Source organism: Homo sapiens, chromosome 15 (genome assembly GCF_000001405.40).
Source record: "Homo sapiens chromosome 15, GRCh38.p14 Primary Assembly".
In the NCBI taxonomy this organism is placed as follows: Eukaryota; Metazoa; Chordata; class Mammalia; order Primates; family Hominidae; genus Homo; species Homo sapiens.
In genome coordinates, this window is record NC_000015.10 from 69,987,037 (window position 1) to 70,012,123 (window position 25,087).

At 50.0% G+C, this 25,087-nt stretch overlaps 1 long non-coding RNA gene across 1 annotated transcript in view, besides 2 other annotated features; it reads right to left on the bottom strand.

Annotated features, from left to right (window-relative positions):
* The window catches only part of LOC101929129 (uncharacterized), a 52,221-nt gene that overhangs the window by 14,560 nt on the left and 12,574 nt on the right, over positions 1-25,087 (bottom strand). The window lies entirely within an intron of this gene.
* Positions 3,612-4,500: an enhancer, noted in NCBI's record as "NANOG-H3K4me1 hESC enhancer chr15:70282987-70283875 (GRCh37/hg19 assembly coordinates)". NCBI's record gives its function as "activates a minimal SCP1, AML or CMV promoter by ChIP-STARR-seq in primed H9 embryonic stem cells {active_cell/tissue: H9 hESC(primed)}" and the evidence as "EXISTENCE:reporter gene assay evidence [ECO:0000049][PMID:30033119]".
* Positions 13,152-13,653: an enhancer, noted in NCBI's record as "H3K4me1 hESC enhancer chr15:70292527-70293028 (GRCh37/hg19 assembly coordinates)". NCBI's record gives its function as "activates a minimal SCP1, AML or CMV promoter by ChIP-STARR-seq in naive H9 embryonic stem cells {active_cell/tissue: H9 hESC(naive)}" and the evidence as "EXISTENCE:reporter gene assay evidence [ECO:0000049][PMID:30033119]".

Genomic DNA, 25,087 nt, shown 5'->3' on the forward strand with positions numbered 1-25,087 from the left:
CAGATGGGGAAACCAAGGCACAGAGAGAGGAGTCCATTTCCTCAAGTTCACACAGTGGGTTAGGGAAAGTCTGCAACCTACAGTGATAAGACCTAGCATTTATAGAGGGCTGATAGTGCGCTAAGCATTTGCTATTCATCACTTCACATAACCTTTCCAAAACGATGAGGTAAGGATCCTCATCTCTTACACGAGATATGCATTTTAAAGATGAAGAAACTGAGTTAGTAGTCCAATATCGCAAACCTCTAAAATGTGGGAGGCTGTGACTTGAACTCCACCTAATTTCTAAGCTCTGAATCTTAACCACTGAGCAACACTACCCCTTGGAGATAGAACTAGGGTCCCTGTTCCAGATCAGAGCCTGGCCCACTGCCCTTCGATGCACAATTGTGCCCAAGCCCTGGCAGTGCTCTCCTGCTGTGGGGTTTACCTATTTTCCCTTCACCTGCCTCTCTTTGTCTATATATTTCCTTCTCTGAGGGCATCAGCATCTCCATCTCTGTCTCTCCCTATGTCTCTTTATCGCTGTTTCTCTGTGTCTATGGAAGTGCTTATCTTTACTCTGGTGTGCATGTCTCCGAGTGTGAATGTGGATCTGTCTGTTGCTCTCTGAATAGCTGAGGAATGGAATTCCACAGTGGGTGGACGGATGGATGGATGGATGATGGATGAATGGGGGACAGCCTCCATCCACAAATGACAGACATGGTAATGAGCGAGCATCTCCCAGCCCAAGTACCTCTGGCAGCCAAGTCTCCCAGAGCCATTGATCTGTCTCCCCCTCTAATGCCCTCTCTCCCCAAGGCCTGCATATTCCATTTCCATCTTAACCCAAAGCTCCTTCCCCAGGGCTTGGTGGCTTGTATCCAGTTTTATTGTTGATACAGATCTTTAACTGCCCTGGGCTTATAACTGACATTTAAATTACTCTGCAAACAATGAGTCAATATTTATGGATTCCTGGACCAATGCATTTGCCAAACCTGGTGTCCTGAGTTTCTCCCAGGCCAAAGGGGCATATGAGTCAAGGTCAAGGCTTCTTCTGGTTAAAAAATGGGGAAACCAGGTCTGCCTCTAAGCAAAGGTCTCTGATTAAAATAGAACTGTGTACCCCTCAGACTATCTAACTGGACCAAGGTGATTCCCCATTGAAAATTCAAATCACTTCACGCACACTTAGGAGGCATTTCCTATATGTGCAGAGCACCACGTTAAGCCTGTATGAGCAACAAGGTTGAATCAAATCAGGTCCCCATCTTTGAAGTGTTCTCACAGTAGGAGGAGACAGAGGCACACATAGGCAACTATGAGCAATCCAAACACAGTCCGTGACGATAAAAAGAAGGGAAAAGTAATTCTAATAAATGGAACTTCTCAGAGGGCTCCCTAGAGGAGAACGTACATTCCAGGAGGGGAAAACAGCCAGGACCAACAAGGACCTGGAGATACTGAACAGGTTTTTAAGGGTGGGAAAAAAGTTTCGTGGGAAAATGTCATAAAAAAGTAAACTGAGCCCTGATCCTGGAAAGACCTGGATAACGAAGCTGAGGCATGTGGCTTTCCTTCTGCAGGCAAAGAGGTGCCACCAAAGGTCTTTGAGCCAGGGAGGCACCCCAAAAGAACTGTGGTCTCTGGAGCGCTTTGGAAGCAGTGGGAAGTGGGGCCTTATGCTGGTAATGGTTAGGGGTTGGCCACTGCGGCACGCAAACATGGAATTCCAGCATTCCCAGCCTCGCCCCCCAGGGCACAGCAGGAGGGCTGGGCCGGTTTTTTCTCCATCTTTTAAGTGTGGCCCTCGCCTGCCTCAAGAAAAACAACAAAAATGAGACTGATGTTTCTGGGGCCTCTTTGGAGCTCTGAGTTATGGAGGTAGCCTTAATAGTGGAGGCCAAACCATTTATCATGCCGATGAATTTAAGCTCTGGTTCCAGGAAAAAAGACAAGCAATCTCTTGTCCCTGCATCAGCACTGACATACATTCCCAGGCAGCCAATTTATTTGTCCAGCTGCCCTCAGAGGCTCAACTTTAGAGCTAGGTGAGCTAAAGCCTCCCCGGTGGCATGTCTCCCGGTGCCAGGCTCAGTCTGGGAGTTTGGTGAGGGAGGATGAGCTCCTGGAATTTGGGGAGGTCATTGCAGGATCTGGAGGAGTGACAAGGTACTTCTGGAGGGGCAGCAGGGAATGCTCCCCAGCAGGGCCAATTTATTCTTTAGGCACAGTCAGCACAGTGCCCAGGGCCACCATGCATTCAGGGGTCCGTGAAAATGTTTTAATTGCTTTTAAAATCAGAAGATAATGAATATAATCTAGCTTGCATTAGGTTCATCTTTATACCAATGCAGATATACATATATGGAGGAAGGGGCCCATGAAGGCAAAAGGCCCAGAGCCCATGACCCAGGCACTCAGTATCAAGGTCTCTCAGTAAGAATAGAAAAAGCCAGGCAGCGCTAGGGCCAAATCCCACTTCCATTATGCATTGGGTCTAATTCCCTGTCTACACCTCAGTTTCCTCCTCTATGAAATGGGCTAGTGCTCTGAACCTTACAGGCAGGTAGAGAAGGCTGGGGGTATGTACAGTGCCTGGCAGAAAAGCACTAGTACCCAAAATTGTTACCCATTTGCCCAATTCAATGTTCCCTCCTCCCTGGGAAGTTTCCTGACCGTGCCAAACGTCCTGTTACCTCCTCCTGAATGTCTGGGGTTCAGTGGTAAGGAGACCCCAGGAGCCTCAGCTTATCTCTGCAGTTCCCTGCTAGGCTAGATCCAGGTCACACCCACTAGGTGCTGGGTGTGGAGAGGCCATCCATGCCAAAGCAGGCTGTCACCAGTGTGAGGCCAGGGGCCACACACACATCATTCTCTTTCCCATGGCATTTGGCTCAGAGCTACACCCAGGAGCTACTCAGTAACCATTAGTTGGTTGAAAATCTCTAAATTTGGAGTTGAGATTCCTTGTGGTTTTCTGTTTTTGCCTATGCTTTCAACTCTAACAATTGCCGTTCATTGGTTCATTCCAACTCCCCATTGGCTGCATGCTTGGGTCCTGCTAAACTTGCCAAGCTCAACTTGCCCCACTCTCCCTCCTCCTCCTTGCAAAGGCCACACATGAACCTCTGGGCCCTGGCACGTGCTGTCCTCTGCTCCAGGAATGTCCTTCCACCCCGTGTTTGCATGGCAGATTCCTCATCCTTCAGGAGTCATTTAGACATCACCTGCACAGGGAGGACTTCCCTGACCACCTTCCTACAGTAGGTCCTTCCACTGTCTCTTTTATCACTGAAACTGACCAATTTCTTCATGGCACTTAACGTTAAGTTTTCTTGTCTCATCTCTCAACCCATGTAAGTCCCTTGAGAACCTTGGCCAATTTAAATCATTACTGTGTTACATAACACCTAGCACAGGGCCAGACACTCCGAAATACTTGTTAAATGAATACATGAGTTGATGAATAAATTAATTATCTTATTTAAAAGATATCACGTGCTCACTCTATACTGCATAGGCACTGAGGGGCCGTTGAAGGTTTCTGTCCCAGAATCTGCACCGTGTGTTAGCCAGGTGCCTTCTACTGCCTGTGCATGAGGAGCTGGGATGGCCAGGGCGGGAGACTGTGGCCACCCAATGCGCCTCATTCAAGGAGCTGCTCCTGCAGGAGGGGATGTCAGTTATGTTGAGAGTCACCCGGACGGCCTTGTGACCTCCTCTGAGTTGCTGCTGCACCCTGCCCACACAGGGCAGGGGAGGCGGGAGCACAGGAGGCCAGGGTAGGGGGCTGGGGGGAGGAGGGGATTGGGCAGAAAACACCTGGCACAACACCCCGGCCTTAGAAACCAATGCAGCACTTGGCCGCTGCGCCTTCTGCCTACATGGGCTGTCAGCTAGTGTGTGTGTGCATGTGGGTGTATGTGTGTGAATATGCGTGCAAATATAAACATGTGAGTGGGAATGTGTGTTTGTGGGTGGCTATGTGTGAATAAATGTGTGTGAATGTGTTGACGAGTGTGTGAATGGATACATGTGGCTGTGCGTGTGCAGATGGACTGTGTGAATGTGTGTGAGTGTGCGAGCGTGAGTGTGTGACAGAGTGAGTGTGAGTGTGCGCTCGACTGGCCCCAGCTGGGCCCCTCCCTCCCTCTCTCCCTCCCTCTCTCCCTCCTCTCTGGAAGGAAGCTGCGGGGAAGGGGCCAGATGGTCTCCCCTGACCTGCTATTTATCATCCCGGCAAAAGCTTATTCAGTTTAATGCTGTTCGGCAATTCATTTAAGGGCTCTGTTTGTTTCTGCTGATGAGGACTGTTAATTTGCACAGCGGTCTCATTAGGCCTAAACCACCAATTAATTCCTTTTGTTCTCATTAAATGGCTGATTCCTAAACATTTCGTGGGCAACAATAGGCTGCCCAGCCAAGCCACCACCCCAGGCAGCAGCGGGTGGGGGGTGGGGGGAAGGCGTGGACTGGGGGCATGGCCTGGGGCAGGTATCCATGGGGGCTCTCTTGGCCCCCAGGCCCCTGGCATGACCACTCCAGCCAAGCGCTGTAAACTGCTCTGTAAACCCTCGGGACCCGCCAATCATAGCCCCGCCCAAAATCCAGACCCCTAACACCATTGCCCGGAAGGGTCCAGGCAGCCCAGCGGAACAAGTCCGCAGTGTGGAGCTCTGAGCACCTGGCTCCCCAGGGCCTTTCAGGCAGGCTGAGGCTCAGGGCCTGCTCTCCCTGCCGGGTGTGCTGGGCAAGCACTTGGGGAGCCCTTGATGCTTCTCAGCAGTGTTGAGCCAAGTGCCTTTGTCTGATGGAGACGTCAGGCCAGCCCACTGCTTCCTTAGATGCAGGTGCCATGGAGTCCCAGGGAGCAGAGAATGTGGAAGTGGTCCTCAGGCTTCACAGAACTGAGAGCTGGAGACCCGGCTGCCCTAGCAAGCACATCACCCCTACTCAACCCCTCCTGGAGCTCAGCTTTCTCTTCTGGAAAAGGAGGGAGTTGGGCCACCAGCAAGATGCTTATTTTGAGAGGCGCTGAGCGGTTTATTCAAGTGCAGCGTCTCACAGATGCCCAGTACAGACTGTGCATAAAAGCAGAGGTGCTCCAGCCGGAATCCTGCGCATTTTCAGTCTCCGCTTGCAAGGTTCCCTCAAAGAGGGGCACCTCAGCTCCCATAAGGGCACCTGGGTGCAGGGTGTGGGCACCTCTGGACTAGCTGTTCTCTGAGTGGGGGATCCCTGCCTTTAAGGAACCTGCCTGGGCCTCCCACCCACTCTCTCCTCTGTTCAGGGCAGCTCCATGGTTGCTGGCCCTGCCTACCGTCACCGGCATCACAGGAAGACCGAGAGAATGAGATAAGGCCCAGGAAGCCCCATGAAAAATTCCAATGAGGAATAGCCTGGCCTACACCAGGGTTTGCATCCGACTCCACCACTGCCTGGCCATTTCTTAACTTTTAGATTTCCTCATCAGTGAAATGGAAATAATACAAGCACCTCCCTCCTAGTGATGACGTGAGAATTAAGTGAGTCAATACCAAAGTGCTTGACAGAGTTCCCGGCACATGGTAATTGCTCCAATAACTGTTGGATAATAGATACTCCTTATCAGTATTAAGCGGACAATGCCTTGCCCTGCCTCCTTTCCCAGCCTCACCCCCACACCCCTTCTGAACACCCCTCCTCACTCACTCCAGCCTGCCAACCTGCATTCAGCTCCCCCTCCCCTGGCCTTCTCTAGTGAGTTCCTCATACCTGGTATGCCCTCACCCCCACATAAAGTTACCAGATTTAGCAAATAAAAATATAGGAGGCTAGGTGAATTTGTATTTCGGATAAACCACAAATAATTTCTTAGTATAAGTATGCTCCAAATACTACATGAGCTATACTTATACTAAAATTATATGTAGTTTATCTAAAATTGAAATTTAGACCGGGTGCGGTGGCTCACACCTATAATCCCAACACTTTGGGAGGCCAAGGCGGGTGGATCACCTGAGGTCAGGAGTTCGAGACCAGCCTGGGCAACACGGTGAAACCCCGTTTCTACCAAAAATACAAATATTAGCCAGGCATGGTGGTGTGCGCCTGTAGTCCCAGCTACTCAGGAGGCTGGGGCAGGAGCATCGCTTGAACCCGGGAGGCAGAGGTTGCAGTGAGCTAAGATTGCACCACTGCACTCCAGCCTGAGAGGGAGGTTCCATCAAAAAAGAAAGAAAGAAAGAAAGAAAGAAAGAAAGAAAGAAAGAAAGAAAGAAAGAAAGAAAGAAAGAAAGAAAGAAAAGAAAGAAAGAGACAGAGAGAGAGAGAGAGAAAGAGAGAGAAAGAAAGGAAGGAAGGAAGGAAGGAAGGAAGGAAGGAAGGAAGGAAGGAAGGAAGGAAAGAAAGAAGAAAGAAAGAAAGAAAAAGAAAGAAAGAAAGAAAGAGACAGAGAGAGAGAGAAAGAGAGAAAGAGAGAGAAAGAAAGAAAGGAAGGAAGGAAGGAAGGAAGGAAGGAAGGAAGGAAGGAAGGAAGGAAGAAAGAAAGAAGGAAAGAAAGAGAAAGAAAGAGAAAGAAAGAAAGAAAGAAAGAAAGAAAGGAAAGAAAGAAAGAAATTTAACTGAGCATCCTGTATTTTATCTAGCAGCCCTACCCCAAGCCCATGAGTCGGTGAACTTGTACTCATCCTTCCACACTCAAGTCAAGCATCGCCTCCTCCAGGAAGCCTTCCCTAATCTCCAGTTAATGTAGCCATCCCTTGTCAGTGCTCCTTCAACTCGCTAGGCTGGCTGACCTCAACCCAGCTCTGATCACTACTTTTCCCCATGCTCTGTGATTCATGATCCACATGCCCATCCCTCCATCTAGATTTTGAGCTCCTGGGGTGGAGTAGAGGGTGTTTTATTTGGCTGAGAGTGGGTAAGGCAACTAGTGCACCCTTCCCTAAACTTGTTTACCATGGGGCCTCCCCTCTCCTTCTTCCTCCTCAGCAGGCGCTATGCTCAGATGAGGAACTCTTTCCTGTCTCTACCACCAGACTAGGAACAACAGCAGGAGGTGGGGACTGGGACAGAGATTGCTAGTTGCCACCCATCAAGTTCATTCTCTCTTCTTCAGTAGTAACAAAGCCCTGCCTGGGACAGCATTGCGTTGTGCCTAAAGACTACATTTTCCTGGCTGTGCGTGGTGGCTCACATCTGTAATCCTAGCAGTCTGGGAGGCCGAGGCGGGTGGATTACTTCAGGTCAAGCCTTCAAGACAATCCCGGGCAACATGGTGAAACCCTGTCTCTACCAAAAATACAAAAAAATTAGCTGGGTGTGGTGGCGCATGCCTGTAATCCCAGCATTCCAGAGGCTGAGGCAGGAGAATAGCTTGAACCTGGGAAATGGAGGTTGCAGTGAGCCAAGATAACTCCACTGCACTCCAGCCTGGGCAACAGAGTGAGACTTCAAAAATAAAAATAAAAATAAAAAGCCTACATTTCCAAGCCTTCCTTGCAGCTAGGCAAAGCCAAATAAAGTGATGGCCAGTGAGATGCATATGGAGTATTGTGTGGAAATCCAGGAGGTCTGGGAGATGTTGCCTTTGTCCTTCCTCTTTCCTCTTTTCTGCTGCTGGGAATGCAGATGTGCTGACTGGAGCTCCAGCAGCCATCTTGCACCATGAGCTAATCTTGAGACTGGTAAAGCAAAAGAAGCCTGGCCTAGATTACTTTGTGGAGTCACCATTTCAGCCCTTTACTGTATAGTGTCAAGTACTGTGAAAGGTCTGAAATTTTACCCTACTTGCAAGTTAACAAGTTAACCTGCCAGAGTGTCATGCAAACTAGCAGAAGACATGAGAATCCTGGTCAGAGACAATGGACTTTATCACTCATGTTACAGCAAGTGGCATGAAGTTCATGTTCATGTCAGTTTGCATTAGTTCCTCTTGTCCCCAGGTCCCTTGGGGCAATGCAAAGCAGTCCAGGTAGATGCTGCAAATGCAGGAGGTTTAGGTCACAGCTGAGGAACCCAAGCTTGGGAAGTCCCAATCCTTTACAACAGGGCTGGTAATAAACCTTCCCCACCCTTGCCCTGAGCAAGACGTTATCTTTATCATACTGGACAGCAAGCAAATCCACCCTTTGACACAGAGAATGACACTATCTGTATGTTCTGAGCCTATAAAACATCTTTGCAAAGATGATCTGGAACAAAAGCCACCCATGGCTCTGCTTATAAGACAAATGAAAACGTGGGAGACTTATGGAGCATTGTCCCCCAGCATATGCTTCCAAACTTCTGAGTAAGACACAACCCCAGTGCATTGAAGCCATTATTATTCAATGTTATATGCAGCTGAACCTGGTGCTAAGTGATACAATAATACAGATCGTTCTTTGTTCCTCATGTCAGGTAAGCATGTGTTCTCTATGTAAAGAGGCCCTTAGAGGAAAATAGTCTGCCCCAAGTTTGTCCTCAGAAATAGAATATTTGTCTTTAACAACTGCGAAATAAAAATCAACCTCATTCATTCTGTAAAGATTAATTTTTCCCCCAAGTTGAATCATTAAAGACGTAAAACTACCGAGATGGACTTCGGGGCAGCAGAAGGAGGTGAGGATATGACTGGGCCAGCATAGTGAGCTACATTTCAGTTGGCATGGATAACCGACTCGTGGATGGAGTTTTGAGTTTATGTTGGGCTTTAAGGAAGAGTAGAAATGACTCAAGAAATCCCCATTATGACTTCCGTGGCCCCACAGACAACACTGCCCACTACTTTTCGCTTTTGTGGCAACAGCACTCTCACTTCTTTTGGGAGCTGTCCCTTCCCTTCATCCACCCACTGGTGAGGCTGCAGAGGAGACAGTGAACCAGTGCACCCATCACTGGCCACGGCACAGGGGTGGGAGATGTGACTCAAGCAGGGCCTGCAGAGCCCTTCCTAGGGACTTTTCAATTGGGAACTAAGGAAAGAGAGTCTTTTCCCCTTGTTGGCAAAACTGGAAATCTATGGCTGGGAATTATGAGCAGTCCGGTGCTCGGTCTCAGAGAGTGACACTGACATGGGTGAAAGACCCTGAGAGCCACGCTGGTGACAGCAGCTGATGGAGCCCATTGCCCCTGCTCTTTCTGTAGGTGAATCCCACAGCTCAGTCAATCTCCCCTTTTGCCTGATTGGTTTGAAGTGGATGCCAGAATTGTAACTGAGAATCCAAACTACTATCTCCAAATTGAGTCTGGTAACCTTAGACAGAGGCTGGCCTCTTATGTGCCCATTCTGTGTCAGCATTTGGGGGAAGGTAAAAAACAAACAAACAATGAAACAAAACAATCAGCCTGGCTTATCTGAATACGCACAACACCGCAGAGACGGCGCCAGTGGAGGCATGCCTCAGACCACGCCATTAACAGAGGCCCCAAAAGTTCTCAGCCCCGTCTCCATCCCACAGCACAGAACTGCTCCAGTGGAGTGAACCAGTCAGGGTGGCCTCGACTGACCTCTGCTACCTGCTGGTGTGTACACAGTCTCGACTCGAGCCCCCTCAAAGCCCGCGTGAGAAAGCAGGTGCTGCCTGCCTGCTCCATATTATTAGAATTCATTTCCATATGTTCCTTTCATCTTCTCTCCAGGATAATTGTTCTTCTGGGGCTCAGGGCGTGGGAGGGCAGGAGGTGCACACTCCTGTTTATCAACTCACTAAATGCCTGCTTTAAATTAAAACCCACACCACATGCTGGCTCACACAGGAATAATATTAAGACCAACTGTTTTCCTGCCTCCTGCTATCAATGCCAAACTGATTTAAACCCGCGTTTCCTTTCCATCTAGGGACATCCATTCTGGAAGTATCTAGCAATAACCTAGTTCCTACAGCTCCCAATCCTTTTTTTTTTTTTCTTTTCTCTTCTCTTTTTTTTTTTTTTTCTCTTTTGAAAGACCCTCCTGCACTTAAGAGGACACACAGCCTGAAAGATCCTTTTATACCCTTTACTGTCAGCCAAACCCTAGTCCAAACAGTGTGTCTGTTTAATCAGTCAACAAGCCATTATTGTACCTTCTCAGTGCCAGGCCCGGTGCTAAGTCCTTCATATACATAGTCTCATCTAATCTGATCTAATCCTCCCAATAAACCTGAGAGAGGTATTATCATCCCTTTCCAGAGGAGAAGCAGAGGTCTGGAGAGGAAGAGCGACCTGCTCAAGGTTAGGTGGCTGCGGGCGGTGGAGCTGGCAGTCCTGCCCATGCTATCTCACTTCGGAGCCCCGCCCTCTGCCCAGCGGCTGGCCACCAATCTGCTCTCCATTATCCCAGCTGCTCCTCTCACCCCACCTGTGGCCAATAGGCCGGGATCATTGCCTGTTCTGTACGCACACGGGATCCAGACTGCACTGGCAGTTACTCACCTAGAGTGATTTCATCAACAGGAAGGATTCTGCTGCTGAGGCAAAATCCACTTCAACGGCCTTCCTTTGACTGAGGTGAGCCCACTAATCCTCTGGGTTAAAACATATGATCCTGTTCTATGGTGAGTAGTTCTATGCAAACCTAGCCCCAAAGCCTAAGGAAGCTGAGAGGCCAAAGAAAGAGGCCAAGAAACCCAGGTTCTCAGAAAGAAACATTTAATAGGGACTCACGAACAACCCATGTCTTGGGTGGCTGCAAGGCGCAATGGTGGACGCCTGCACTGCTACCCCCAGACCCAGGGCTCGTATGCCATAGGGAATTTGCCTAAGGGCAGGATTTATAGTAAGTATGTGTTTATGGTAACATCAAGGTTGTTTTGATCTAAGGGCAGGATTTACAGCAACTACATGAAAGTAGAGATCTTAGAGGCTTTCCTGGAGCTGGGGTTAATCAGAAGTCAGCATGGCACATTAGCATCCAAGATGGAGTCACTTCAGCCTCCACAGGTCCTCAGACATCCCCTTTAAAATGCACCTGCTGTCAGTGTAGTCAGTGCAAAACAAACAGCCCCAACATTTAGTAGCTTCAAACAACCACCATTCTATTTCCTCATTCTTCTGTGGGCCAGTAGTTTGGGCTGGGCTCTTCTGGGCGGGTCTTCTGCTGGTCTTGTCTGGAGTCACTCATGCAGCTACACTCATCTGGCAGCTCGCCCATGGCTGCTCCTCATTGCTGCCAGGGGCTCCAAGGGAACAACAGTGGAAGCTGCAGGACCTCTTGAGGTCTGGGCTCAGAAGCTCCATGACATAACTTCCTCTGCATTCAATTGGTCAGTGCAAGTCGCAAGAGGCAGAGAAATCCACTTCACCTCTTACTGGGATAAAGGGTGTACATACCGGTATTGGGGGGAATTTGTGCCCATTTTTTTGCAAGCTGCCACACTTGGGAAGGTTGGTGAATTAAGGTGTCTCTAAAGCAGGTCTTCTCAGTCTTGGCACTGCCGACATGTTGGGACGGATGATTCAGGGGATTCCTGCTTTGGGGGACTGTCCTGTGTAATGCAGGTTTAGCAGCACCTCTGGCCTCTACTAGCTGTCAGTAGCACTGCCCCAGTGGGGACACACAAAAATGTCTCCAGACATCAGCTAATGCCTCCATGGAATGGGAGTATTGTCTCTGTTTGCTGACCATTGCTCTAAAGCAAGGGCCCCAGAGAAGTTGCTTCCCGAGCCTCTTGCAGTGGCTCCCCTTGGGCCCCATGATGGGCTCTCCTCAGTGCGGGCCAGCCGGAGGAGAGGGGGCTTTGAGAGTGAGAGGCAGGAGGTACAGTTTAGAAACACAGCCCCTGTGTTTTGCCAGCCCTACCTCAGCACAGCACTCACGGCCAGGCCAGGGCCAGGGGAGCGTGTCTTGGTCCCACCAGCCCACGGGGCAAAGGGCCCTGCTGAGGCAGGTCCAACTCTGGACTCTGCTCTCATCACCCCCAACTTCCTGCCACTCCCCAGCCCCACTGTGTGCTCCCCAAACTTCATTCAGCCACCTTTCCACGGGGCTGCCTCGCCAGCTCACACAGCAAGGCCAGGAGTGAGTCCAGCTCTGACAGCCTGGGCCTCACACTTGCCAGCTCCTGCCAGCGCTCTCCATAGGCAGTCGAGGACTCCTGAGTGGACTGACTGCTGGAACCACAGGCCTGCGGCCCACCTGGCCATGGGCAGCACCACCACCTGAGAAAACCTCGGCCTGTCTGCCGGCAAACACAGCTGGATCCACTTTCCATCCATATCCAGAATCTGACCACCTCCCACTACTCCCAGCCTGGCACCAGCCACCAGCACCTCTCACCTACATGCTCCCAGGAGCCTCCCACCTCGCCTCCATATTCTACACTTGACCCTACAGCCTAGGCTCCACCCAGTGGCTACCGGATTCTGCTAAAGCTTCAGTGTGATTGTGCTACATCTCTGCAACTCTGAAAATGGTTGCCATTTTCTCAGAGGTAAAGCCCAAATCTCTACTGTATACAACCAACGAGGCCCTGTCTGACGGGGCCTATTGCTGCTCACCCCACCTCCTATGGCTCCCGCCTCCCTCACCCTGACCAGCCACACTGCTCCTCGCTCCTCCTCCAACACGCCAGACACCCACCCACCTCAGGGCCTTGGCCTTTGCCCCTTTGTCTAGAATGTTCTTCCTCCACACGTTCACTTGCTCCCCTCTTCACTTTCTCCAGGTCTCTCCTCAAAGTCGTCATTTCAAAGAGGCTCCGTCTTAGCTCAGGCTGCTGTAATGACACACCACAGACTGGGTGGCTTAAACCACAGACGTGTATTTTCCCTAGTTCTGGAAGCTGAGAAGGCCAAGGTCAAGGCACCTGGCTTGCAGATGGCCACCTTCTTGCCGTGTCCTCACATGGTGAAGAGAGAGAGAGCTCTGGTCTCTCTTGCTCTCCTTACAGGGACACTAATCCCATCGTGGTGGGGAGGGGCACACACGTGGCCTCATCTAAATCTAATTAGCTTCGTCCCAAAGTTCCCACCTCCAGACACGATCACACTGGGGGTTAGGGCTTCAACATGTGGCTTTTAGGTGACGCACACATCCATCCTCATTTCACCCGCCCTGGCAACTCTTTTGAAAATGTCAACCCCGGACACTCATATTTCTCTTCTCTGCTTTATTCTCTCCACAGCACTCATCCACCCTAGCATATAATCCATTCTACTTTCTCTTATTTATGGTCTGTCTCCTGCACTAGAATGGAACTCCATATGGAGAGGTATTTCCTTTCTTCCATCTACTGCTCTGTCCCAGTACCTAGAACAGTGCCAGGTATATGGAAGGGGATCAATAAAAATGTGTTGAATAAACAAATGATTGATTGAATGAATAAATTAATCCTATGCAGGACAGGGACACCTGTAGAAGGTGGAACTAGCTTGAGTTCTTCAAGCCCCACTCTGCATGGCGTTCAGGTGGCTTAGAGGATCCCCTTCCAGCCTGAAGTATTTTGCCCCAGCCCCAGCCAGGCCTCCCAGAATCAGCTTCCCCCTCTCATTTCCCCTCCTCTTCCATCCTCCCCTCTCCCTCCTGCTGAGAGCCCTGATGCCTGTTCAGCTCTGCCTGCCCTGAGACAGCAGGCCTCAGTGGGGCTCCATCTGGGTGCTCTGAGCCACCCAGTACTGGGAAGAGAGAAGAAGCAAGAAGAGCCAGGCTAGGGGGTGGGGGCAATGCTGCAGATCAAAGGCTGGGAACAGAGGACTCATCACCACAAGGCCAAGGCAAGGGCTGGACCCACTGTAGCATCTCCAGACTTATTTTCACAGGTGCAAACATGCCCATAACACACCCCACCAAGCATCGGCTCTTGCCTCCCTCTCCGGGGGCTCCCACTCCTTTAGTAGCATGAGAAGTGCTCAGGGTGCCAGTCGCCCAGGCCCAGGCAAGACAACAGGAGCCTCACAGTCTCAGCCCTTCCTGGGTGTAAGTCTCCCCCATTTGATGGGCAGAGCAACTGACACTTAGAGGGACTCTGGCTTCTGGACCATGTGCTCATCTGCCCTATCTGAACATTGCCACACAAGCATTGATTTACTTTTGAAATCAGAAGGAAAACTAGTTAAATATTACAGATCCAATAAATGATTCTTGGATAAAAGAATAACCCAGTTTTTTGGCTGGGCACAGTGGCTCAAACCTGTAATCCCAGCACTTTGGGAGGCTGAGGTGGGCAGATCGTTTGAGGTCAGGAGTTTGGGACAAGCCTGGACAACATAGCAAAACCCTATCTCTAGAAAAAACACAAAAAATTAGCCAGGCATGGCAGCAGATGTCTGTAGTCCAAGCTATTCAGGAGACTGAGGTGGGAGGATGGCTTGAGCTCAGGAGGCAGAGGTTGCACTGAACAGAGATCACACCACTGCACTCCAGCCTGGGTGACAGAGTGAGACCCTGTCTCAAGAAAGAAAAAAAAGAATAACCCAGTTTTATAAGCAGAAGAAAGAGAGACAGACAGACAGGAAGAGAGCAAGAGATAGAGGAAAGAAGGAAGGGAGGGAAGAAAGAGAGAGAGGGAGGGAGGAAGAGGAAGGGAGGAAGGCAAGAAGGGAGTGAGGAAAGAAGGGAGGGAGAAAGAGGGAAGATGGGCTTTCATTTTCCCACAAGAGAATGGATACTTCCCACCCTTAACACTGATCACATATGAACACTGAAAATGATTACTTCTTCTGGTACTGCTGTGTTCATACAAATTAATTCAACAGAACAAAAATGTATGAAGGTGATCATGTTCACCAACCTCCCCCACCCCCACCCAATCTCCCAGGGAAAATTTCTTCATCTCCATTCAGTTATCCCTTTTTCCCGCTGGGAGAGGGAGAGAACTAATCTGTACATAATATAAGGCTGAGAGAGAGGGAAGAGGAAGAAGAGGAAAGAAGGCCACCTGGCTTGGGGGAAGAGGGAGGTTTAGGGGATTTGAGGGAAGGGGGTTAATACTTGTAGCTGTGGACTGTGTATTTGAATCCCTTTTAACATCCTTTGAAAAATTTTAAGTAAAACATACGTTTTTAAAAAAATTACTTGGGATTGTGTAACTCTGCCTCTTACGTGTCACACTCACTGAGGCTCATAACAGCTACCTAGGTATTTAAACAGCGCCTTCCTATTGACCAAAGGCTTTGCATAATCACTTCACAGCCACAGCAAACAGTGAAGCAGAGGGTATCTTTACTCCCATTTTTCAGGTCAGGAAACTGAGCTTCAGAGCAGGACAACTAGAATCAGACGGTTAAACAAGAATAAGAGGTAAACCTGGGCTATGATGCAAAGTCCCACTGCCTCCCATGTCCCACACTGCCTCCCTGTAACCTGTGCCCTTAGAGAAGTGGCTCTTGGTGGTAGGCACATCAGAGCCACCCGGGGAGTCTGCAGAAATGCATATTTCCTGCTTCTTCCCCCTGGAGATCCCAATTCAGCATGTCTGAGGGAGGGCCTGGGAAACTGAATTTTTATCGATTAAAAATCTAATGTTGATTGGCCCATGGATCAAACTTCAAGAACCACTGGGATAAGGTGTGAGGATAATATGTCCTCTATAATGGGCCAGGTCACTCCTCTGATGGTGAGAGGTGAATTCACACAGAAAGGGTCAGTGTGGAGCCCTCTGGGGGCAGGCAGGGCTGGTGGTCTGCATGGAGAGTGTGGGTCATTCACTGTGCCCAGACCACTGCCTGTCCAGGGAGCTCAGGGCAAAGGGCAGGCCCCAGGACACCATTTGAACAGGGGATAGGGGCTTGTGGTGTGAGGAGAGATTGAGACCATCAAGATGTCACACAGATGCGTCAGGAGCACAGGGATACAGGCCTGGGGACTGGGAAGGGGAGGGAGCAGAGCCAAGTTTCAGCGGACATGGTGGTCATGCCTTTGGGCCTGAGGTTGTTGTTTTTAGAGGGCCCACGCGTGGACCCACCAACCACTTCTACTCTCAGTTCCCTCTTGGTTCTTGCAAGAGTTTAGTAAAGTTCCTTTTGACAATTCGTTTTATCAATTTCCCTGGGAGGCACCATCACAAGGGCATTTAATTGAATTAAATAATCAGTGGCTATGTGGGAAAGTGTCAATTTGCTCACCCACTACATATTCCCACCTCTTCCTCTGAGCAGCTCTTCCTGGAGAGCTACAACCTGCGCACAGACTCCCTTGCAGCTAGGGTTCCACATTGATTTGGGTTCTGCCAATAGATGGACTCACATGAAACTGAAATTCAGAACTGAGCCAAAAGGGAAGAGAGGCAGCATGAAGCTTCCACCTTGTTGCAGAGGAATAAGATTCTAGAACATGCAGCTGTGGAAGTAACAGCATTGGGAGGTGGGGCCTAAAAAGAGGTGATTCAGTCTGAATGCAAGTTTCATATGAATGGATAGATGTTGTTATGGTGGGAGTGAGCTAGTCATCACCAGAGTGGTCTTGTTATAAAAGCAAGTTGGGCTCCTTCTTGCTCGCTCTCGTGCTCTCTTGCCCTTCTGCCTTCTGAAATAGGATGATGCAGCAAGAAGGCCCTTGCCAAATGCAGGCCCCTCAACCTTGGACCTCCCAGCCTCCAGAACTGTAAGAAATAAATTTCTGTTCTTTATAAATCACACAGTCTCAGGTATTCTGTTATAGCAGCACAAAACAAACTAAGACACTTTGGGAGGCCGAGGCAGGCAGATCACTTGAGGTCAGGAGTTCAAGACCAGCCTGGCCAACATGGCCAAACCATGTCTCTGCTAAAAATACAAAAATTAGCTTGGTGTGCTGGCAGGTGCCTGTAGTCCCAGCTACTCGGGAGGCTGAGGCAGGAGAATCACTTGAACATGGGAGGCAGAGGTTGCAGTGAGCCAAGATCGCGCCTCTGCACTCCAGCCTGGGTGACAGAGTAAGACTGTCTCAAAAACAAACAAACAAACAAACAAACAAACAAAAACAGACTAAGACAGGAACATTCTCAGTGGCTTGCCTCTTAAGAGTCACTCCCAGAAGCTCAGACTAATGCTCTTTTCTCCAGACTTCCCTGTAACTCTGAAAGCCATTGAATACTCTGTGATGAACCCCTTTCTGCATACATAACCAAAGTGGATTCAGTTCTTAGCAGCTGCATCCTTCCTGACTCAGTCATTTAATGACAGTGTCTCCATGAGGGCAGAGGCCACAGCTCTCTTGTCCACCATTGCACCCCCAGTCACTATCTGGAGCCTGGCACATAGTAAATGTCCAAGAAACATTTGAGACATATTGCCTAGGCGAATGAATTCCCAGACTACTTTAGTGCTGCAGAGAGAAATCTGGAGAAAAAGGCTGCTTCTACTCTGGGTCAGGAGACAACCCTCTGGGCTGGAGGGGGCAGCTTGGCAGCCAGCCCTTCCCACCTGCTATTTTATGTTTTGGGCTTTTTTTTTTTTCCTCCTACACACCCAGTAGTAGTGAGCTCGGGGTTGTGGAAAAGGAGAGCAACCAGCTGCCCCTCTGTGCCTGGCCCCTGCTCCTCTGGCCATCCATGAGTGATGGTTTGAAGTATGTTTGATTTCACCTCACCTAAGTTTCCCTTCACACAGTGAGTCCTTTGGGACCCCCATCACCTCACAACAAAACAAACCCAACCAGGGTGCAAATTAGTTCTACTGATTTGCAATTAGAAGAATCAATTAAGAAAAATATTACAACAGTTTCTAATCCCTGCCGTACAAATCACTCCACCTGAAAGCTCCGGAGTGGTCAGGTCCCTGGGCTTCAGAACTGCCCCGTCTCCCCCTATAGCCATTGTACTCAGAGAACACCGAGGATAGGAGAAAGGAGCTGGGGCCTGAGAGGGTGCAAGCTCCCTTCTGGGCCAGCCTCCAGGCCCACCTCCTCTGGTCCCATGAAGAATGATAACACAGTATCAGCCCAACTCACCATTCTCACTCCCACCCGCTAAGGCATGACCCCAGCCCTCAAAGAGGTCCCCAAGTGTTTCTGAGCATCTCCAAAAGGAATCTCACAGGTACTCATGAACAAGCCCTGTTGGGACCCACAGCAAACCCCTGGTCCAGGTTTTGGTAAGGACTCTTCTTTCTCCCTGCCCTGGCCCTGGGCCCTGGAGCAGCTCTGTTGGGCTGTTTGTGTGTGGAGGGAAATGAGGGCTCCACTTCCAGAGGGCTCTGAAGCAGAACTGCTAGGCACCAGGGTTGATCTGGATTTACTTATCGTGGGCCTTGCCGTTTACCCCAATGGGGCCAGCCATGAGTCCCTGGGAATGGGGCTAAGAGGGAAACCAAGTGACAGGTTCTAGAACATTTGGAATGCCCATTTCCTTACAAAAGCTAACACTTGGGTATTTACTGGGTGAGGACCCTTGCACAAGATTCTCCCAGGAGGTACTTCTGCCCGCCCTGCACATGCATTTCATGTCTGCTTCGCCTGCTCATCATTGCCACATCCTGACCCTCATGGTTGACACAATTTAGGTTCTAATTACAGCCCTTAAAAGAATAACACCAGCACTTACATTTGCTCAGAACTTTACCATTTAAAGAAGACTCCTACCTGCGTAGGTTCTACAGAGATACTGTTGGCCGCATATAACAGAAAACCTGACTCAGATTGGCTGAACAGTCATGCAAATGTATTCTCCTCCTTCAGAAGAGGTTGGGGATGAGGTGAGCAGCTCCAGCTGTAGTTAATTCAGCATCTCCACAATGCCATCGAGGACCCAGGCACTCTCGGTTCTTTCTCCCTGCCATCCCCTGCACGTTGGCATTGGTCCTCAGGTACATCCCTTCGTGCTTGTGAGAAGCTTGTGAGACACCACCGCAGCTCCCAGCATCACACTGTCACATAGCAGTGTCCAGAAGCAGGAAGCAAGATGTCCCTTCTTGATGTAACTTTTTAGAAGCAAGAGGCACTTTTCCAGAAGCCCCAGTAGGCTCTCTGCCTTCTGGCCAGAATGGCATCCTGTAGCCTCTCCTGACCCACCACTGGCTGGCTTGGACTGAGCACCTTTTACTCTCTAGGCTGGAGAGGAGTCCTGCACTGTCCTGCAGGACCTGGCACCCCAGCCTGGGTTCTGCTAGCAAGAAGGGAGCAGAGGGGATGGCTACTTGGATTGGCAATGTCTGCCTCTGGCCTCAAAAGTGCCTCCGGGAGGTAGGGCACAGGCTTGTACTAATTTCCGGTGGGAAGCTGCCAAGAGGGTGGGTGTCTAGCCCAAGGTCACACAGCTACAGCAGAGCAGGGTCAGCTCTTGACCTCTGACTGGATCTCCTGCTCTATCCTAATATGTCCTTCTGGTAATATGTCCTAGGGCACACAGCCAGGGCAAGGAAGCAAGGCCCCAGCCCTGCCACCAGGGGTAGGGCCCCCAAAGCAGGGTGGGGAATGACCATGCTCCTCCCAGACACCCCTGACAGGTGGAGAAATCCTTTCTAAGAAACACAGACATTACTTTGTTAATAAAATTCTGCCAATCAGCCATAGGTGCATGCCACACCCTCCTTGCATTTATGCCCCACCCTCCTTGCATTTATGCCCCACCCTCCTTGCATTTATGCCCCACCCTCCCTGCATCCATGCCCCACCCTCCCTGCATCCATGCCCCACCCTCCCTGCATCCATGCCCCACCCTCCCAGCATCCATGCCCCACCTCCCTGCGTCCATGCCCCACCTCCCTGCGTCCATGCCCCACCTCCCTGCGTCCATGCCCCACCTCCCTGCATCCATGCCCCACCTCCCTGCATCCATGCCCCACCTCCCTGCATCCATGCCCCACCTGCACTGGCCTGGAATCCTTTTCAGCTCTGGCTGCAGCAAGCAGGACAGTGTAAATTTTCCCCCGTTACATTAACATCCGACCAAGCAGTCATTAAGAGAGTCACAATCAGTTTTTCCAGAATGATTGCTATTGCACACGGAACTTAATGGAATCACATGGTCATTTGAAAAGAAAGATGCGGGGAGGGGTGGTGGTAGCAAAAGGAGGAAGGTTGCCCCTCCCGTGGCGATTGCCAAGCGCCGGATGGGATCTCATGGTATTCTGACTGGTTAATCACCCAGCAGAATGGGGACTGAGGCTTATTAGGCAAATGAAACATGATGGATGTTGTATTTCAACAGTGGAATTGGGAGGGAAGGCAGGCAGGGCCTTGCAGCGAATGCTGGGTAAGCATGGTCAGGAGGAGCCAGGTTCTGGCATGTGGGCAAGTGGGGAAGGCCCCTGGGGGACCCCAACATGTAGGAAAAACAGGTTCAAGGGGCTGTTTGAAGCAGGAATTGCAGGCTCAACTGACAACAGAAACAGCTTTCTTTTATTAAACTGGAAACCTGTCCAAAGTTACCTTGTGCCCACTGAGACCATGTCTCCAGAAGGCAAGAGCTAAAGCAGATTGGGGCCAGCACACACTTTCTGTGTCTCCAGGGAAGCCCCTTATGGGGCTCTTTACTCTGCAGAAGGGAGCACCTGCTGGAGGTGCATGGCAGAAGGAAGGGCAGCTGTGGGCTGCAGTGAGCTGGGTGGACAAGGGGCACGGGTGCTGTGGCCATGGTCTCTTTCGTCTCGCTCTCCCTGGAGCCTAGGAGGAAGCTATGACTCCAAGGCCTTGCAGAGAGGAGGCTCAACTGTAGCTTGCAAGATCCTGTTCTGGGCACTGGGAATTTCCTCATAGGTGGCTGGAGGAGCACATTTTCCCAGGGTTTGGGAGAAGGTGGCAGGAAGTCCCCGGGGAAAAGAAGCTGGTCAATTCAGCTCCAGCTGTCCTTGAGTGCTACAGGCCCCGGGTCCCCTCACCAAATCTGCCCCCAAGACCCTGCCAAGTACAGTGGCTATATGAGGTAGAATTGTTATTACCCTCATCCACAGGGATGATGAAATGCAGGCTCAAGCAGGTCAGGGACTGGCTTAGGGTCCGGTTGCAAGTGAGCTTGGGCAGAGCCAGAAACGGACCCAACTAAGCTTGACTCCATCTTGGGCACAGATGGCAGGGCACCTTAGGAGGCTCCTAGGGGAACAGTTCTCATTGAGTTCACCTTTTTTTCTCCAAGTCTCCTTGGGGAGCTGATTGCCCATCCAAGAGGATTCCATGTCTTTTGCTCATGGATGCTGTTGTTCATTCGATGGACCTTCACTGGGCAAGGGGGTGTGTTCAGCTCTCTGAGGGACAGCACTGAACCAGACACAGGCTCTCGGGAGCCTTGGGAATCTGACCACCTAGGAGGCCTGCAGAGGGGAACACCATCAGGTCTGCAGTCAGAGGTCAGGACTTGAGTCTGGGCCCTGCTGTGTACCTGCCATGGCATCCAGGACATGTTCTTTAACTTCTCCAAGCCTAAGTTTCTCTGTCTGTACAATGAGAATAAAGGGCATTTACTTTTCAGGATTATTGAAAGAATTGAAAGAGAGAGCTCAGGGCAATAATACCTTATTCAAACTCCTTGAGGCCGGGAGTGTTTCAAGATTTAGAATACTTTTTGGATTTCAGAAATGGAATATGGTGGATATGCCACAATTTTGTCACCCCAGCATGATCTGGGACAGTGTCCTGTAATCAAACTCACTAACACTTCTGCAGGGAAACTAATGAATATTCACAGTCCATGGGATAAATAAAGACTTAAAATAGTTGCCAAATGAATTTTCAAAAAGCTTTCTGTGTTCAGAGTGTTTGGGATTTCAGGATTGTGGATAAAGGCTCTGGCTAGTAATGATAATGGTAGTGACTATTTGCTGAGCATTTACTGATTTACATGCATTTACTCACTGAATCCTCACAGCAACTCCACGAGAGCAGGGGCTGTCATTATCCCTGTTTCGTAGCAGAGGCTGAGGGCCTAGAGAGGTTAATTCACTTGCCTATAATCACACAGTTGCTCAGTAGCAGAGCTGAGATTGGACCCAGGCAGTCAGGCTTCAGCATCTGTGTCTTTGTTCAGGTTAGCAATTCAGGAAGATGGTGGGGCTGCTGGCAGGACCTCAGACGGCACCTAGCTAGCCTTCCTGATGCGACAGAGTGTGATGAGGAAGTGTGACTCTCCAGGTCCCCTGCCTTCTTTGCACCAGGGCCTGGGAATAGAGCCATGTTCCTAGGCTCCCAATCTAGTGTGCTATTACACACACACACACACACACACACACACAACCTCTCAGCCTCCACCTCCCCAGCACTACCAGAAGCCAGAAAAACATGTTTGGCCAGACTGAGGTGCTGGGAAGGAGAGCATGACATTCACAGCACTCAGCCTCCTTCTGCCTCTTCTTCCCCCTGAGTGACACCCCCTCCTCTCCTGAGGCCCTCAGCACCCTCCTTCTGAGCAAGGGGGCAGTAGCTTCAAGGGGATGTCCCTGTGCAGTAGAGCCCTCTTGGGTTGCACTTGATCATAAATACACAGATTGAGGCTAGGGAAGGCCCCAGAACACTAGACTTGGAGTCAGATAGGTCTGGATTTCAATGCCTGCTTCTTTTCTCATGGGGCAAATGGTCTTCAACCAGTGATTCCAGCTCCCTGAGGCCAGCAAAGTAACAGTTACTATCAAGTACTTGATAGTTAACATAAGGCCTGATGGGTTCCCAAGGACAGCTTCCCTCCAGACTCCAGGGAGAGCGAGGCTGGCTGGCCTAGACCAGGGCTGCAGCTCCTGTGGCTCCCGCAGTTCACGGCAGCCCACTGCCCTCCCTCCTGAACAGATGAGCACCCCCGGCATGGCCGGGCTCCCTTCTATGGAGGAAATAGCTCCATGAGGAAGGGCTCCCTGGGGAAACAGAAGTGTGTGGTGTCCCCGGACTGCTTTAAGTCTTGCCATGTGGAGACATGGATGTGATGGGCACTGTCATTTTCCTCATCCGCAAGCTTTTATCGCGGGACCTCTCAGGCAACTGACCAATTGGTGCTCCCCAGAAAGCTGAGCGGCTGGGCCTTGGGGCCACCCCACCCACATTCTCTCATGTGATGGGGGGCACTCAGGGCGTGAAGCCCTGGGAAGTGGGGTTCTAGTCTTCCGTCTGTCAAGAGAAAGATCACTCCCAGGCAGGATGATGTGGCTCATGGCACAGATTCATGAGTCAGGAACCTGAGTCTGAACTTTAATCCCACCGTTTCTAGCTTTGCGACCCTGTTTATCTCTCTGAAACTTCATTTCTTCATCTATAAAATGGGGATGATAATACCTGTTACTTCAAAGGGCTGTTGTGAGGATTAAACAAGGTAGTTAGTTCAAACAAGGATTAGCTGAGCCCCTGGCTCAGCTAAGTGCTTTCAGGGGAGTCCTGAGCAGACAGACATGGCCCTGGCCTCACAGGCCTTACAGTCTCGTAGGTGAGTTGATGATCAAAGTGGAAAATAAAACAAAATATGAGGTCTTGGCTTAAAAAATAGTTCTTATCATCCTCCTTTGAGTGTGGCTATGCTTAGTTAACATGAATGTATTAAAGCATTACCATGTATCAGTATTTATTATTTATTTGTGGGCTACTAAGAGACTTATGTAAATAGAGAGATTTTATGTAAATAAACATAATGCATATGTATAGATGCATAGCCTCAGTGGACCCTCGTAAAGATTCTATGTAGCGGGTATTTTCCCCATTCCTCAGGTAAAGAGAGCAAGGCTTAGGGAGGTGAAGCGATTCTCCCATGGCTCCACAGCAAGGAAGGGGTGGAAGAGAGACTTGAACCTGAGTTAGTGTGCCCCAAGGACCCGTGTTCTTATTCACAGGGTGACCACCTCCCTGTTAGCTCAGAGGCCATGGGGTATGTGAAATGGCTTCTTGCAAATTACAAGGGCCAGGCAAGTATAAGGGATTATTATGGCTCCATTCCCTGCATCACATCTGGTCCCTTGAACATGGGCAACTAAGCCCAGGATGGGAGCCAGGGAGACAAGGACATGGGGATTCCAGAGAAGGAATTGGCTCCCCTTGCCATTTGGGGGACACTTGGTGAGTGGAGGTGGCATCCCCCTGGTTAATGCTTCTTTGGGGTTTCTTGGAGCTGCTCAGCCCAAAGGGAAACATCTCTGGAGAGCTTATATTGTCCTTGGGAGGGCCGTTAGCTGGTCACTGTCTCCACTGTGCAAAGCCAGCTCCATTCTAGAGAATCCCCTAAGCCCTGGATCTGCCAGCTGGGAGGCCTGGGCTTTAGTGACAGACATGCTTGGTCCTGAATCCCAGCTCAGTGTTTCCTAATTGTGTGACCTCAGGCAAGCCATCCAAACTCTCAGAGGCTCCACTTCCTTATCTGCAAGGTAGGGAAAAAGTCCTGTCTGCAGAGCTGTCTTCAGAATTGAAGAGAACATCTGCAAAGCACCCAGGACGGTGCTGGCACAGAGTTGACCCTCCGTAGATGGTACGAGATGAAGAAGAGGGGCCCGGTGGGCAGAGAGATGTCATGGCTGGTAATGCCAGTCTGTGCTGCAAGAAGCAGGGATGACATTGAATCCAGCCAATTAGGAGAATTTCTCATAAAAATTTAATTCTTCAGTAAAATAATAGTGTAAAATGAAATAGGTGAAGCATTTTTAAACTGTAAATTAATGATCTATAGTTATAGCCATAATAATAATAATAGCTACCAATTACAGAATACGGAAGGCCAAATCTGGGCCAGGAGCTAAACACGTTGCAGGCTCCCCGCTTTCTGAGATAAAGATGCTTTGCTGCATTTCGCAGGCCAGGAGACCGGGGTTCAGCAAGGCCAGTGGTGTGCCCAGCACCCTGCAGACACTGGGTAGCAAAACTATAGCTTCTCACTCCTGTGTCATCCTCTGTCCTGTGTTCAGGCCTTTTCAAATACACTTAGAGCAAATGTAAAGAAAAAACGGAACGAGAGCCACCTCTCTTTCAGTGTATGTGTCTCCAATTCAAGGTTAAATGGAATTTAATCTTCCCTCTCCAGACTTCTGTTTCCTGGTGCCAGCTCTGCTTCCAGGCCAGGAACACCTTATGAGCCAGGCATACCCTCGGGCCCCTGCCTGCAGCCCTTTGAGAAAGGCAGTTAAAGCCCCCCAGGTTTTTCTCCTGCATCTTTGTGTGGTGAGAAACTGATAATCCAGACTTCACATCGGTTCCCCTCAAGACTTTCCTGTCTTCAGAGACAGTCTGCTCTCAGGGGACCCTTTGGAACCTTCTCTAAAGTCACCCCCACTGCTACTGACTCCTCTTCAGGGTTAGAAACAGACAAGATGCTGCTGTCTGGAGTGTAGTTGAATTCGTGAG